The 16864-nt window shown below is 43.3% G+C and overlaps 1 annotated feature.

Moving 5' to 3' along the window:
* Positions 428–1627: an enhancer, noted in NCBI's record as "MED14-independent group 3 enhancer chr2:130403207-130404406 (GRCh37/hg19 assembly coordinates)". NCBI's record gives its function as "activates an origin of replication core promoter dependent on BRD2, BRD4, P300/CBP and CDK7 cofactors, and independent of MED14, by STARR-seq in HCT116 cells {active_cell/tissue: HCT116}" and the evidence as "EXISTENCE:reporter gene assay evidence [ECO:0000049][PMID:35650434]".

Consider the following 16864-nt stretch of genomic DNA (forward strand, 5'->3'; position numbering starts at 1 on the left):
TTTTTCTCACGTTGGGTTTCCATCCACTTTAATCTCCTGAAATTGACCACTGAAGGCCAATATTCACCAGGAATATCCTTTTTGCCAAATGTAGGAGCATTTCCTCAATTCCCTTTTGTGCTCATTCTGGGTCAGTCATTATGGATATTGTGGATGACTCTCTTCCCTGGAGAAGCCCTGTGTCCCCACCCCTGACTTCTTACATTAACTCCATTCCATGCTTCCAACACTCTAGAGTCACATCCACTAATACTGAGCTGGACTCAAAGTCAGCTTGTCCTTAGTGATCATAACATTATCAGTATGCATTTGCCTGTCACGTATGTTGTGCAGCACTCTGGCAGGAGTGTGGCAGGTGTGTGGAGGGTGAAGCCATTCTTCCTCCCTGTTGCCCAGCTGGTAGCTGTTCTCACCCTCCTTGTCTGATCCTAAGCCTTCTCTGTGGGTCCTTGCCATTCTCAGTGGCAACAAGGGCAAGAGAATAATGTAAATGTCAGGACACCACCATTTCTAGCAATTCTAGCAAAATTCCTAAAGCCACTCACCACCAGGGTGAGGTCCACTACCTCCTGGTCTTGAGGATTCTGACCATGCAGTAGAGCAGTTTCCTGGCAGTGGAGAGGAGAGCCCACGCCTCTAATCATCCGCACCTATCTCATTTCTACAGCAGTGACCCAGCATGGCTCCGTGTCCACAGCAGTGACCCAGCATGGCTCCGTGTCCACAGCAGTGACCCAGCATGGCTCCGTGTCCACAGCAGTGACCCAGCATGGCTCCGTGTCCACAGCAGTGACCCAGCATGGCTCCTTGTCCACAGCAGTGACCCAGCAAGGCTCCGTGTCCACAGCAGTGACCCAGCATGGCTCCGTGTCCACAGCAGTGACCCAGCATGGCTCCGTGTCCACAGCAGTGACCCAGCATGGCTCCGTGTCCACAGCAGTGACCCAGCATGGCTCCGTGTCCACAGCAGTGACCCAGCATGGCTCTGTGTCCACAGCAGTGACCCAGCAAGGCTCCGTGGCCACAGCAGTGACTCAGCATGGCTCCATGTCTATAGCAGTGACTCAGCATGGCTCCATGTCCACAGCAGTGACCCAGCATGGCTGCTCCACTCAGAACAGTCATCTTGGCCAACTGCACAAAGGCCTCCTGAAACCTTCTCCTGACCTCATACAGTGCGCAGTCGCTGAAGACCATTTTCTCATGTTTGCAAGAATGAGGGGCATGAGACTGGCTGGGACACCCACTGTCAGGCTCGGTCCAACTCAGCCAGGCTCCAGAGTGCTCCAGGGCTCAGCTCTTCCTAGGAGCCGCAAAAGTTCGATTTAAAGTAATCTTCTTTGCCATTATCTTCTTTTTCTTCTGGAGAGCATGCAATTTTTAATCTTTATTGCTGACCAGGACAACTCAGCATGGCTTGTAAATTATTCTTCAACACTAAATGTCCTGATGACTGTTCTCCTGACTTCTAAAAGGGTCCTCATGAAATGCTGTGGGCACCCATTTTTCTACATAGTACTGTGGTTCTTAGTCCAGCACGGTAAAATCGCTGTTCATTTGTCAGAATCCATCAGCGGTGTTCAGTGGCAGATGAGGGGATTCTGATGCAGGGCCTTTGAGGTACCAGCTGGAAGAAACTCCTCTTTCTCTAGGCTTCATTCTCCTTTTGCTGTCGTCCCCCAGGTGACAAGGGGTGCTGTGTCACACACAGAGGACTGTGTAGTTAGGGAGTATGATCATGAAGTATTACATTTATTAGACAGCAGAATAAGCAGAGACTTGAAGGGGGCCTTTTATGTGAACTGACTATCACAAAATTGGGACGGGTGAGAAAGAGAGGGAGAGAAGGCAATGCCACCGTCTGGGTAGCAGGCAAAGAATGGAACAAAGCACGCCACACAGATTAGTCATCTCAACACCTGTCCCACAGCAGAGTAAGCCCTTTCTGTGGGTCTGCTGCTTAGCAAGATAGACACCAGAAACCTGGTATCCCTAGCAGCAGGGGTGCAGGCATGTGACCTTGGCTCAGCAAGGTCAGCTCCAGAGAACAGGCTGTGGAGTCACTCAAGGCATCATCCTGCCTGCGTCCCACCCACCATCCTCTCTGGCCTCCCTAGAGAACTCATCTTTCACCCAGTGCCTTCCACCACTTGCCTCTTCTGATTACACCAACCTAGGTGGTTTTCTGCAACAGTATAACTCAGATTTTAACTGGTGCAAATCAAAAGACCTTCTCTCCCATGGATGCCCGCACTCAGAAGTAGGATTGTAAAAGTGCATTTACAGAAAGTTGATGCCACCCATGCACCATAGTCACAAAGGGCTCTGGAGTGACTCACAGTACCAAGAAGGCCTCCCAGTGGAAACTTCCTGGGGCACTGCTGGACTTTGGGCTCTGGGGGCAAAAGCTGTGTGCATGCAGCAAGGAGGTCCCAGTGCCCAGTGTGGAGCCTGGCACAGAGGAGACACTCAACAAAGAGTTGCTAAGCTAAATGGCTGGGGCAGAGGGGAGATAAATGGGCATCCCAGCTGGGTGGGAGAAGGCAGGGAAGCAGGTAAGAAGCGAACTCTTTCCTAGTAGTATTACTCTCCAAAATTTCATTTCCACCAAAGGGCTTAGAGATGGTATAAACCTAGTCCAAATTATTCTCTTCTACTACATTAGACCATGCAGGTATAAGAAGGGTAGAAGGCAAGTCAAGGAATGAGGGGCTGAGTTTACTCTGATTCTTTCTCAATCATAAACAATGCCAATCCCACTGATAATAAGTCAACCAGTAAAGCCCCGCAGTGTATTGTCAGCACAGCACGGGGAGACATGTGCTCTACTGTGCTTTCATGATCATCGAGTTCATTACCTGGGATGCAGTCACAGAGATAGGCCTTTGGGAAGATTGAGAGCCCTCTCTTTCTCTATTCTTGTTATTGTGTTGGGTAACAATTCTCCTAGATGATCTGGAATTTTAAAACAGGCTACAATGAAGACAGAGTATATAAGGCTCCTTCCTTTACCCGATGCCTATAAATTTAAGATTTCTACCTCCAAAGCTAGGAAGGACAACATTTGTCAAAAAAGCTATTTTTGGACAGTTTGTATCTAATCGTATTTACTCTTTCCATGGCTCTGTGACATCCATGTCATCAACATCATCATCATTAACATACTTTTTAAGAGAAGTTAGAAAAGTTAAATAGCCTCTGGTTGCATATCTAGCAAGTAATTAAGGAAGGTGTATTTGAACCATGGCCTCTGGTCCCTTGTTCTGAGCACCACCATGACTCCAGGCTGCTTCCAGAGGCATTTCCCGACCTGTCCGCCATTTTGTAACAGGCATCATGTCCTATCAGACTAAGCCTGGGATGTTTCTGCATTTTAATCAAGGCAATTCCAAATCCTAGCTGGGGAAGGAGCATCTCTAGACATAGATGAGGCATTCCTATGTTTAGTTCATTGTGTCAGGCTTTTTCTGATTGCCTGGAATACAGCTGTGAACATGATGGAACACGTTCACAGGTGAGGAAGTGAGAAGAGGGAGTGTGGGGTACATCTCCCCCTAGATCTGCACTCTATCCCTTTACTCACAGCCATGGCTCTCAATAGCCGGCCCCTTACCCATGGCCACAGCCCTCAACATACCCACTGCCACCGTTAACCCTTTAGGTCAACGGGTGGTGAAGGTCTCTTGCAGCTGCTAGGCCCTGGGTTTTCCCCCCTCCCTTGTTGCCCCCATTACCCACCCCACTCTGTAGAGAGCCCCTTATTAAACTCTCTTCAGCTGCACCCACTGAGGGGCCCCTGATTCCTGATAGGATCCACTCACAACCTGGTTCCCGGAAAACACCCAGGAATGGCCAGCTCTGACCGTAGGCTCATGGGCCAGAGCTTCACTCCACACTGTACTAGTTCCAGGACTCTAAAAGGACAGATCCTGTAGTTTAAAACCTTCCCTTTTAATTGATATCTTTAGTTGACTAGTATTGATATTTTAGAGTGTAAATTATCTTTACACTGAAACATTAATAGTTTCTTCCTCGGTTCAGCAAGGATAATAACAGAACCCACCTTTGGGGTTGTTGTAGAGACTAAACAAATTAATGCACACATACATACAAAGAAAGTGCTCAACAAATCAGCTATTCCTGCTCCTATCATTTATTTTTGAAATGATTATTTTATTGTGAGTTCTATTTCTTATATGGCACAGCTAAAACTTCAAAGAAAAATACCTGATGAATAAAATATGCTGCTAGAACTCCAGGAACTAGGATGTCACTGGAGTACAGAAACCTATTTAATTGTGTTTAATACAACCTTTCCCAAACATTTTATGGATGCTATTAACATTTCCTGGAATCATTAACATTTTCTTGGAGCTAATGTTCTTCAGAAATAATTTGCAAAGGGTTGGTTTGTTTGATTGATAACTTTTGCTCCTTTTTCTCTACTCTTGCTAGGAAGTGGCATCCTGGGTGGTGGCTGGAAGAAAGGAGGGACCATCGGTGGTGGCTACTGTCCTGAGAGGGCAGCTCAACTGATGCTGGGGACCTGTGCATGGTGTGGGGCTCTGGACTTCCCCATGGTAGAGACGTGGGGTGTGGGGCTGCCTCCACCTCCTTCTCTAGGAGGTGGGTGGGAAAGGAGGGTTGGGACTGCCTTCCTTACAAGACAATTCTGTTAGATGACAGCTTGGCCTGAAGGAGGTTCGTTGTGTAACAAAATCTGCAACCTACGGAATTGAAGAGGCAGCCCAGATGAGCGTGAAGAGGGTCCATGAGATGAGAGGCGGTGGCGGCGGGTGTGCAGGGAGCATTTGTGTGCACGCTCATTGCTATTGACTTCGATTTAGAGATGTATTTTTCAGCTTTCATTTTGAGCCCTATGTGACATTAATTCCTTCAGAATATCTTTCTTTTCAGCTGGGAATTCTGCTTTTCAAACATATATTTCAAAACAGGATTATTGTGGGAAGTCCAATTTCATTGCATAGAGTTTGCGGAGTGAGTCTTTCCTGCACTCTGCCTTTATCCAGTTTATTACAGAAGAAAATCAATACTATACAATGGTCTTTAATACAATATAGGAAAGGGCTCTTTTTTTTTAATAAAATCTACTGAGACTGAAAACTGTATACATAATAAATAAGGTAGGTCATCAACCAGAATTGATATCTCTTTTTGTAAGAGATTTTATTTGGTTTCTCAGGTTTTATTCATGAGGAGGACAAGCAGAAATGTGAGAAATCCAGAAATGCTTTGGTGTAGGGTGACATCCACTTTCACTGGGAAGAATGCAGAGTGATGCCCACTTCTTCCCTGGAAGCCTCCGGGCCAGTCCTGCTGAGACCTGGGTCTTGTTTGGCTCAGGGCACACAGGCACAGGGCTGTACAGTGCTGGATCCTAGCACTGTGGCCTGGAGTGTCACTGCACCGGTCCCAGCTACCACGGGGCAGCCTTACCACATCCAGACTTCCTGAAACACCTGCCTCTATGGGTGGGCTTGGAGGTTCTGTTATACTACAAGCCTTTTCACATTCTTAAACAAAATACATTTATCCAACAAACATTTCTTGCCAATCTGATTTTTTAAATGAGATGAAGATTTGGGATCTTGCTGTTTTAATTTGCATTTTCCAAATGACTAGTGAGGCTAAGAAGTTTTCACCTGATTATTGGCCATTTGTATTCTCCTGGGATCCCTTGTCCATTCTTTGAATGCATTCATCTGACTTTTTCTTATTATTTAAAATCTTTGAGGGAGCTACATTCCAGAGTAACAGGAATTCAGCTTATGCTAGAGGATGTAGTAGGTAGAATAACAGGCTCCAAAAAAATCCAGGCCTTACTCCCTCAAACCTGTGGATGTGTCAGGTTCCATGGCAAAGAGGAGTGGAGGTTGCAGGTGCAGCTGAGGCTCTGACTCAGCTTACCTCACACAGGGAGATGCTCCTGAATTATCTCTGAATCATCTGGGTAGGTCTTGGTCATCACAGGGTTCCTTATAAGTGGAAGAAAGCAGAAGGGAGATCTGGAGAGACGGCAGCATGAGAGGGCTCAGCCCAACACTACTGGATTTGACGACGGGGAACCTTCCACAGCCAAGGAATGTGGGCCCCTCTAGAAGCTGCAAAAGGCAAGGAAACAGGCTCTCCCCTGGAGCCACCAGGAGAAAATGCACCCCTGTGAGACACATGTCAGACTTCTGACCCCTAGAACCATCAGATAATAAATCTGTGTTGTTTTTAAGTCACTACATTTGTGTCCATTGCAATGGAAAACTAATGGCAGAGAATCTTGTGAGAGCATTCATTTTCTCTAGACTTGTCTCCAACATCTCAGGGCTGCCTTACTGAAGGTTGTGCTCCTGAATACAGACTGTGCGATGATTCCTGCATGATATTTTCCTGCACAACCTGGGCAATGACTCTTATGCAGCATATTCCTAAATACAGATTGTTCATGGCTATCGCATGATGTATTCCCAAATACAGACTATGCAATGACTGGCAGCTCCACCTTCCACACTTCTCAAGACAACCAAAGAGGTTCCCAACAAGACCCCAGTTTCCAAACACAAGCTACTGATCTGGTACCTTAGGATGCAGCGCTTACTCAGGAACTTGAAGACAGACAGGAGAATTTCATGGTTAAAGGAATGAAATCTAGTATTGGAACACCAGGGCTGAAGTCCCAGCCATGTCGTTTATGGCCAGAGCAACTTAATTGACAAGTATAGAATAGTGAGTCGGATGATGACAGGCATTTGTCCTTTGTAAGTACTCACGCAACACGATAAAATTTGATCATATGCTGATTTACAAAACAGGATTCAAAACATTTCAAAAGGTTGAATATTTTCTCTGATCATATTAAGTGAGAAATAAGTAACAAAAGTAAAATAGCAAGAAAATCCTGAGTTGTTTCATAATTAAGCCAGTAACTTCTAAAGGATTCAAGTGTGAAAGAAGATTACAAGTGAAATTAGAAAACATTCCGAACTTTAAGAAATGAACAAGATCATATTAAAGTGTGTGAAATGCAGCTGAAAGTGCTTGAAAGAACACATATAACCTTAAATGTTCATATTTTTTAAAAGGTAAGCTTCTATCTCAAGGTTCTAGAAAAACAGCAGCAAATTAAATCCAAAAATGTAGACTAAAGAAAACAATATGTAAGAATAGAAAGCAATGAAATTAGGATACTTTGAATATGTTAAATTTTCTGTTGGTTTATTATATTAATTTTTAAATTACTTTAAAAAGGAAAACTATAAAATGACAGTAACATCTGTATCCAAAAGTGTGCACCTGAAGAATGTGTCTGGTCTCCTGGTCTACCACCACAGGAGGGTCCAGTGGCAACAAAATTGAGACAATAACCTGATGAATTAGAGACACAGGGTGAGCATTCCTAATCTGAAAATCTGAAATCCAAAATGCTTCAAGTTCAAACATGCTGCTCAAAGGAAATGCTCATTGGAGCCTTTCAGATTTCATACTATTGGAACAGCGACACTCAACCATAAGTTCAGTATAATGCAAATATTTCAAAATCGGAAAAAACTTGAAATTCAAAATACTTCCAGTCCCAAGCATTTCTGATAGTCCCAGATAGTCAGCCTGTAGTAGCAACAAAATTTCATTTTTTAGAGTGTTAATTTCTGACCACTTACCATGAAAATTTGAAAATAGATAAATAAAACAATGTTTTCTAAAGCAGGATAATTATATGAAGAAATATCCAAATGAGTTGCATATCTGACTTTGATTCTATTAATTGAAATAAGAGAAATTTGAGGACACCAAAATACCAGTCAATGTATTCCTTACGTGATTTTAAAAAAACCATTGTTTAGGTATTATTTTCACTTAATCATCTGTCTGCTCAAGGTGTTCTGTCTCTGAATGTTCAGACAGGCAAGAAGGACAACATGGCAAAGCCTGTATGGCATAAACACAGTGACTTCCCTGCCACCAACACGTAAGTTCCGCGGGCTGCTCCAAAAGAACAAGGCACTTTGAGTCTCTGTCCACTGGGGCAGACAACATGAACTGCTGCTCTTTATGTCACAGGTTGGGTTGTTTCCCTGAATGCCCACCCAGAGGTAGAGATGTGCATGTAGGAAGTGGGTCCTCAGGATGAGTACCCAGATGGAGGGTGGGGGCAGGACTGGGTGGAGAGAGAAGCTGTGTGCAGTGCAGCAGCAGCAAAGGCCTCAGCCCATCCCACAGGCAACTCTGGAGCTGAGATGAATGTGCAGAGTCAGGGCGAGGAGGATCAGCCTTCCCACCTCTGCACTGATCAGCTCTTGCATGCAGGCTTCCCCTGAGGAGGGGCTAGTGCTCTCTTCACCCAAGAGCTCAGCTGCGAGATGTCAGCCTTCAAATTCCCAGACATGAAGAGAAGGAAGTCCTGAAGAGGAAAGATTCTGGGCAGCACCCTGAAGTATCCACTACACCTTAATCTGGAAAGGTTTCATGATGACACTCAATTCTAATTTCTGTGTCATCTTTGAGATACATAAATAAAATATATTTGTACTTGGAAAAATAAATATTGAACAAGAAACATATACCAGCTGTATCAATGTGGGCAAGTAACTTATCCTCTGTGTGCCTCTACCTTCTCATATACAAATGCAGACAAGACTACCTGCTTCCTAGTGTGGCTTTGAAAAATAAAATTAGCTATTGTTTGTGGAACTTTTTAAAACCTGCAATCTCTTGGTAGCTCTCTTTGCTATTTTCCTGGACCAACTGACATTCTCAAAAGACTGCTTCAAAATTACAAATGCTTGCCCTCACAAAATGTATGCACTATGTTATAAGCAAGAAAGACACTGAACTTGTACTACATTATTTATTATTCATCATGGTTAACTTCGTTGTTACCTCAGAAGAAAAAAGGATGTCCTTGAATGACAGTGTGAGCAGATCTCCTTAAGGGCTGCCACAGAACCTGCAATAGAGCTCTGACCCTGTCCCCATGCGTCCACAGGGATATCAGACACAAAGCAGGGCCCCCTTCCACAGAACCTGACCTGTCCCCATGCACCCACAGAAACATCAGACACAGAGCAGGGTCCTCATCCACAGAGCCTGACCTATCCTCATGTCTCCACGGGGACATCAGACACAGAGCAGGGACCCCATCCACAGAGCCTGACCTCTCACCATACGGCCACAGGGACAATGAACACGGAGCAGGGTCCCCATCCACAGAGCCTGACCTATCCTCATGTGTCCACAGAGACATCAGACACAGAGCAGGGACCCCATCCACAGACCCAGACCTGTCCCCATGCATCCACAGTGACATCAGACACAGAGCAGGGTCCCCATCCACAGAATCTGACCTGTCCCCATGCATCCACAGTGACATCAGACACAGAAAAGGGTCCCTATTCATCCACAGTGACATCAGACACAGAACAGGGTCCCTATGCACAGACTTTGACCTGTCCCCATGCGTCCACAGTGACATCAGACACAGAACAGGGTCCCCATTCACAGAGCCTGACCTATCCTTATGTGTCCACAGGGACAACGAACACAGAGCAGGGTCCCCATCCACAGAACCTGACCTGTCCGCAAGTGTCCACAGGGACAGCAGACACAGAGCAGGGACCCCATCCACAAAGCCTGACCTGTCCTTATGTGTCCGTAGGGATGGTGGGCACAGAGCAGGGACCCCATTCACAGAGCCTGACCTATCCCCATGCATCCACAGGGACAACAAACACAGAGCAGGGTCCCCATTCACAGAATCTGACCTGTCCCCATGCGTCCACAGAGCAGCCGCAGAGCAGTGTCCCCATCCACAGAGCCTGACCTGTCCCCATGCGTCCACAGAGAGAGCAGACACAGAGCAGGGTCCCCATCCACAGAGCCTGACCTGTCCTTATGTGTCCGTAGGGATGGTGGGCACAGAGCAGGGACCCCATTCACAGAGCCTGACCTATCCCCATGCATCCACAGGGACAACGAACACAGAGCAGGTCCCCATCCACAGAATCTGACCTGTCCCCATGCGTCCACAGGGACAGCAGACACAGAGCAGGGTCCCCATCCACAGAGCCTGACCTGTTCCTTGTGACCACAGGAACAATGGCCGTGGCGGAGTGACCCCAGAGACATTGTGGCTGCACCTGCTCTTCATAAAGCCAACTTATTGCAGGTTTCTTAGATCTACATATGTCCCAAGCATTGTCAGAGACTAACTTTCCTAGAAGTACAGTTAACTTCCAAATGTATGTAGAGGTTGTCATGAATTAAGTGTAAATTCATTTTTTAATTTATAGCTGCTTTGTTTCTGTATAAAGTTTTTGAATGCAAATATGCTGAACGTACCACTGCTTATTATCTGTGATCCTGGGAAACTCGACACTGAGAAGGATTATTCCTTTGTAAAGTTCTGGAGTCAACAATACAGGGGAAACTGATGGACTCTGGAGTCAGGTGGACTTGGAAAAAAGTCCCATCTCTCCTCCACTTGCCGGCCTGTGGTCTTGGGCTGGCCGGTGCTCAGCTCTGAAGTTCTTTCATTCCACTGATGACACGAGGAGTGAGAACAGTTTCCATGGGGAGGAAATGATACCATTCCCATGGGTGTCCCAGGCACATGGCAGGGGCTCAACCACCATCTCACCAATGACTATGGTTGACATTCATACAACTCTTAAATTTATTGTGAATTTCTGAATTCCATTACACCGTCTCTGGAATTTCTGTCCACAGTAACATGGCCGGTTGGAAGTACCAGCATCTCAGGCTCAGCCACAGTCTTGGGGGAGGCCCACACTCAGCCTCCCCTCAAGCCCGGGGTATACTGGAGCCTCCCCAAGAGAAATTCCCTTGTTTTTGTCCCAGGACATAAAACGTCCTTGACACTGCATATCCAAAGTGAGACAATAAAGTGAAACTCTCTTATTTATTTTTTTCTTCCTCTAGAAATTTTCCCTTTTAGTTGGATGGAAGGAGAGAAAGAGAGTGAAAAAGCTAGCAGGAAATATTTAAACATCAATTAAGTTTCACAGAGGACTTTCATTGCTGAGAGCTGCCCCAGGCCAAAGCTTAGAGCAAGTTAATTTCCGGGGATTTATGATGCTACATAAAACCTATAGTTGCACGTCATGGCTTAATAGATTAATTTTATTTCAAAAGGAGACTGTGCATAGCTGGGAGCTGAAGACTCACTCCCTGGTTTGCAGGGAGGTGGCAGCTTTCTCAGAGCCTGTCCACCATAGCTTTGTGTCGTCCATCTCTGCCAAACTAGGAAATGAAAGCTGCCTCAAGAGAAAAGAGACAAAAATAGACTAATGATTATTTTTATCTTCCCATCCCCTATGTCACACTCTCGACCGCACTTTAATTGAAAGATTTTTCATGTCTCATATGTCTTAATACAAGAGTTAGGTTGACATACACATAATTTCCAAACCTGGGAGTTCAGTTCCAACATTTGGGTTTCAGTTGCAATTTTTGAAGTTGCATGGCCATGGGAAATTCACTTAAATGTTCTGAGCTTTAGTTTCTTCCTCTGTATCAACCCTCCTCCCTGGTTTTGTTAGCACACTGATGCCCACTAATTTTTCTTCGCTGAAACTGAGCAACACAAACGCAAAAAAATAAATACCCTGGGTGGTGACGAACCTCTGTGATGACTCCTATAATCTCTTTTTGACAGCTATGCCCTTGATAGACATGCCCTTGACAGCCATGACCTTGATATCCATACCCTTGATAGGCATACTCTATCCTTGAATATAGGCTGGAACTTGTGACCCACTTAAGCCACAGAAGAAGGTGGGTGTGCTAGTTTCCCAGGACTGCTGTCATAAGGTGTCACAAACTGAGTGGCTTAAAACAACAGAAATTTATTTTCAGGGTTCTGGAGTCCAGATGTCCATACAGGGCCATGCTCTCACTGCAGGCTGTAGGGAAGTATCCTTCTTTGCCCCTTCTAGTGGTTGCCAACAATTATTGGTATTCCTGAGCTTGTAGACACATCAAAGCAGTTGTAGTTTTCAGAGCAGTTTTAAGTTCATAGCAAATTGAGCAGAAAGTACAAAGTTCATAAGCCTCCTGCCCGCCACCCGCAACCCCCTCCCCCGCCACACACACACACAGCCTCCCCCACCACCATCATCCCATGGCATCCTCCCTTTGTGTCTGTGTCTTTGTCTGTATTACATTCTTCTCATAAGGACACAAGTCACATAAGGCCCATTATAATCAATTACATCTGAAAAGACTATTCCCAAATAGGATCACATTCACGGATCCAGTAGACATAAATTTTGCGGGACATATGCCTGGTTGGATGAGGCGTATTTCACAACGATTACTTTTCCCTCCCCCTGCCAGAAGCACAAGGAGATTTTTCTCTGACCTTCACTGTTAGAACCTAGTAGGGGGTCCTGGGGGTAAAACTCACAAAACCCCTATGACTGGGTCTCCTGCAGTTTTTAATTCGCAGATTTGTCCACAGGGAGCCTCAGCAATCTGTCAATTACAGTTCAGGTTTTCTTCATGAGTTTCTGCTCCAACAAGTTGTGACTCTTTGTATCCACCTGTCTCTCCAGCGTTTGAGGCAGCTGTTTTCCTGTGAGCCCAACTCTCTGAAGGATCTAAGAACAGTTGTTGATTTTCACTGTGTTCTACTTTTTACTTGTTAGGACAGAGGGATGACTTCAAGCTCCTTACATGAGGACTGGAAACTGGAAGTTTTTGGGAGTGTTTTAGGGTATATCTCTTTCAATAGCTTTTCTAATAGTTGCTCTGGGTATTTATATAGGAAGAATATATATATACATATTCCTATATTTTTATATATATATGTATTCCTATATTTATGCATATATGGTATTTATATAGGAAGAAAATATAAATATGTGTGTATATATATATATATATATATATATTCTTCCTGTATAAATACCCAGAGCAACTATTTGAATATATATATATATATATATATATATATATATATATATATATATATATTCAAAATCAAAATCCACTGGTATCAAAATTTCACCAGTACTGGTGAAGAATAGAAATGCTACCTCCCTTTGCACCCTTCCACTTAACATAATTGTTTTAAATATTTCCTCTATGTATATTGAGACCCATATAAGACAGTGTTATAATTTTGGCTTCAGCCATCAAACGTAATTTAGAAAATGCAATAGAAGCAGAAAAGCCTATTGCATTTTCCCGTATTTTGCTCTCACCATGGTCCTGACACTCCAACATTCTTATTTTACTATTTCCTTCCTGTTTGAAGTGCTTCCTTTAGGTGATCTTTAAAATTAATTCTATTAATGACAAATTATTTTTGCTTTCTTCTAATTGAGAATGTCATTATTTCCCCTTCATTGCTGAGGATAGTTCCACTGGGTATAGAAATCACATGACAGTGTTTCTCCTCCAGCACTTGTTAGCTGTTGTGCCTTGTCTTTCTGTCCTCGTTAATTTCAGATAGATGTGCTCTGTCATTCAAGTTGTTGTTCTTGGCCGGGCATGGTGGCTCACACCTGTAATCCCATCACTTTGGGAGGCCAAGGAGGGCAGATCATTTGAGGCCAGGAGTTCGAGACCAGCCCGGCCAACATGGCGAAACCCTGTCTCTACTAAAAATACAAAAATTAGCCAGACATGGTGGCGGGTACCTGTAATCCCAGCTACTCAGGAGGCTGAGGCAGGAGAATGGCTTGAACCCAGCAGGCTGGAGGTTACAGTGAACCAAGATCATGCCACTGCACTCCAGCCTGGGCAACAGAACAAGATCCCATCTCAAAAAAAAATGAAATAATAAAATTTTAAAAAATGTTGTTCTTCTCTGGGTAGAGCCTTGTTTCTCCCTGGCTGCTCTCAAGGCTCGTTCTTTGTCTTTAGTTTTTAGAAGTTTAATTATGATGTGTCTTGGTGTGAATTTCTTTGGAGTTATCCTTTTTGGGATTGTCTCCATTTCTTAGATCTGAAGATTAATGAGGGGGGTGGCCAAATTTGGGGAATTTTCAGCCATTATTTCTTTTGGGTTTTTTTTTCCTGTTTGCTTTTTCTGTTTTGTTTGTTTGTTTGTTTGGTTGGTTTTTGGGGTTTTTTTGTTTTTTTTTTTTTGAGACAGAGTCTCACTCTGTCATCCAGGCTGGAGTGCAGTGGCATGATCTCGGCTCACTGCAGCCTCCCACTCCCAGGTTCCAGCATTATTTCTTTAAATATTTTTCCAGCCTCACCTTTCCTTGCTTCTGGGATTCCAATGACACAAATGTTAAATATTTTGTTACAGTCCAATAGAACTCTGAGGCTCTGTTCATTTCTTTAGTCTATGTATTTTTCTTTGTTGTTCAGATGGGATAAGTTCTATGGTTCTATCTCCAAGTTCACTGACTCTCCTCTAGCATCTCTATTCTGCTGTTGAGCCCATCCATTGAGATCGTTTTTATTTCTGTTATTTTATTTTTAGCTCTAAATGTTCATTTGTTTACTCTTTATATCTTCTATTTCTTGATGAAATTTTCATTTCTTTGCTGAGGCTATCCATTTTTTCATTTGTTTTGAGTTTGCAATTTCTGGCTGAAGCATTTTCATAATAGCTGCTTTGCAATATCTCTTTTAAAATTCTAACATCTTAGTCATTTCAGTACTTATGTCTATTGATTACCTTTTTTCATTTAGTTTAAGAATTTTCTCATTCTTAGTATAACAAGTGATGTTTTATTAAAACCTGGACATTTTAGGTATTATAAGACTCTGAATCTTCTTTAAATCTTGTGTTTTAGCAGTGTTCTCCATTTAAGTCCTTGGTGGTAGGACTTATTCAGCAATGCCAAGTGGGGGTGAAATTCCAGCTTCTTCATTCGGCCTCACTGATACCCAGGGGTGGAAGAATTCCTGGTTACTTTGGGAAGGGGTGGGAGTTCATGGCCCCCACCAGGTCTCTGTCTTAAGGGGTGAGAGCACCTCATTACTGCTCCCCACATGTCATCACTATCAACATGGAGATGGGGTTGGCCTTGTTACCCTGGGTGAAGGTCAAAATCCTGACTCTCCATTAGGCCTCCTCTGAGACCATCCCAACCGGGAGGCCAGGGGGATCTCAATGCAAGCACACAATGGTGAAAACTCCAGATTTCAACTTGGTCTCCTCTACACCCTCCCACGGGGTGTTGAGTGCTTCATTACAACCTGGCGAGGGCAGAAGTCCAGGTTCACCACTCGGCCTTTATTGGCAAAGTGGGTGGGGGACAAGGTTTTTTCTGAGATGTTTGAATGGAAGAGAGCATTATTATATAAAAGTTTCCTGTCCTGCTAGGCTGTTGCTTTTCTGGTTCTTTCAGTGGTAAGAGCAGGCTTTACTAGGGGGCTATTTTTGTCAATGGTCATTGGCGTTTCTGAGTTGCTGGCTATTTCAGCTAAAAGTCTGGGATATATTAAGCAAAATAAAATTCGGGGGACTCATCACCATGTTGTTCCTTGGATCCCAGGGTCCTTAGCTTGTCTGCCTTCTTCTCTCTACCTTTCACAACCTCCTTATATTTGTTTATATATAATATCTGGAGTTTTGTGTTTAGGGATTTTTTTTTTTTTTTTGCATTTAGCAAGAAGAAGAGAAAAATAGATATATATACCATCTTCAAGGAAGCAGAAGTCTCTCCAAAGAGTTTTATGCAAAACTATGGTTTTCTTTAAATACAGAGTTTTATACTTTATACCAAAAAGTAATTCAGATGGCTTCATAAGTTTCAACCAAATAATAAAATAACAAGGTATATATTTGTTATTTGGTTGAAATTTGTAAACATAAATCTGCATCTCTCTTTATCATCTGGAAAGGAAAAATAAGAAGCAGCTAGGGTTGAAAAATCATGTACAACTAAAAGTCCATGATGCTCTAGACATGCCCTAGGTGGGCTACAGATCTTGTTTTTAGTTGTCTTCCAGCCATTGCAAAAGTGAGATAGATTTCATTAGCTCTCACCTTTGATCTCAGGGTATTTATAAACCAAATACAACTCTCCCCTTTAAGTTGGAAGGGATATCAGGAATATCTTGATATTCTCCAGACTCAGGCCCCCAGCACCTTCGCTAAGGTGTGGGCAAGATACTGCAGAACACACTTTCAAGTATTCATGGAACATTTACCGAGAAAGACTTACACAGGGCTTTAAAATAAATCGTAATGTATTTGAAAGTAATGAAATTGTACAGAGTATATTCTCTGACACAATGAAAATACATTCAAAATCAATGACATGTAAATATCAAGAAAAAGTTCCAGTGTTTGGACATTAAACAATACACTTTTATATAGCCAAGATACAAAGAAGAAATCACAAAAGAAATTAGAAAACATTTCAATACTGAATGATAGTGTCAAGAAGACATATCTATATTTTAGAAATACTGCTCAAACAGTGCTTATAAGAAAATGCATAACTTTAAATGTCTATATTAAAAAGGAAAAAAGTCTTAAAAGGCTACACATGATATGATTCCATTTACACAACATTCTGGAAAAGGCAAAATTATAGCAATGGAAAATAGATCAGTGATTACCAGCAGTTTACGGGGAGGAATAGATGACTAGCTAAAGAAAGAGAGTTTTATGACTATGAAACTATTCTGTATGATACTATAAAGGTGAATACATGACCCTGTGTTTAAGCCAAAACCCATAGAGCTTTAAAGCACAAATAATTAACCTCCATAGATATGAATAAAATACTAATTAGGAAGTCAGGAAATTTCAGGATGAAATATAGACTATGACAAAATAATCTTACTGCATCATCGGTGTATGACATATCTCATTGCAGCAGGGATGTGCTGATCTAACTAGCTTTTTAAATGAGTGAAGCCT

Source organism: Homo sapiens, chromosome 2 (genome assembly GCF_000001405.40).
Source record: "Homo sapiens chromosome 2, GRCh38.p14 Primary Assembly".
In the NCBI taxonomy this organism is placed as follows: Eukaryota; Metazoa; Chordata; class Mammalia; order Primates; family Hominidae; genus Homo; species Homo sapiens.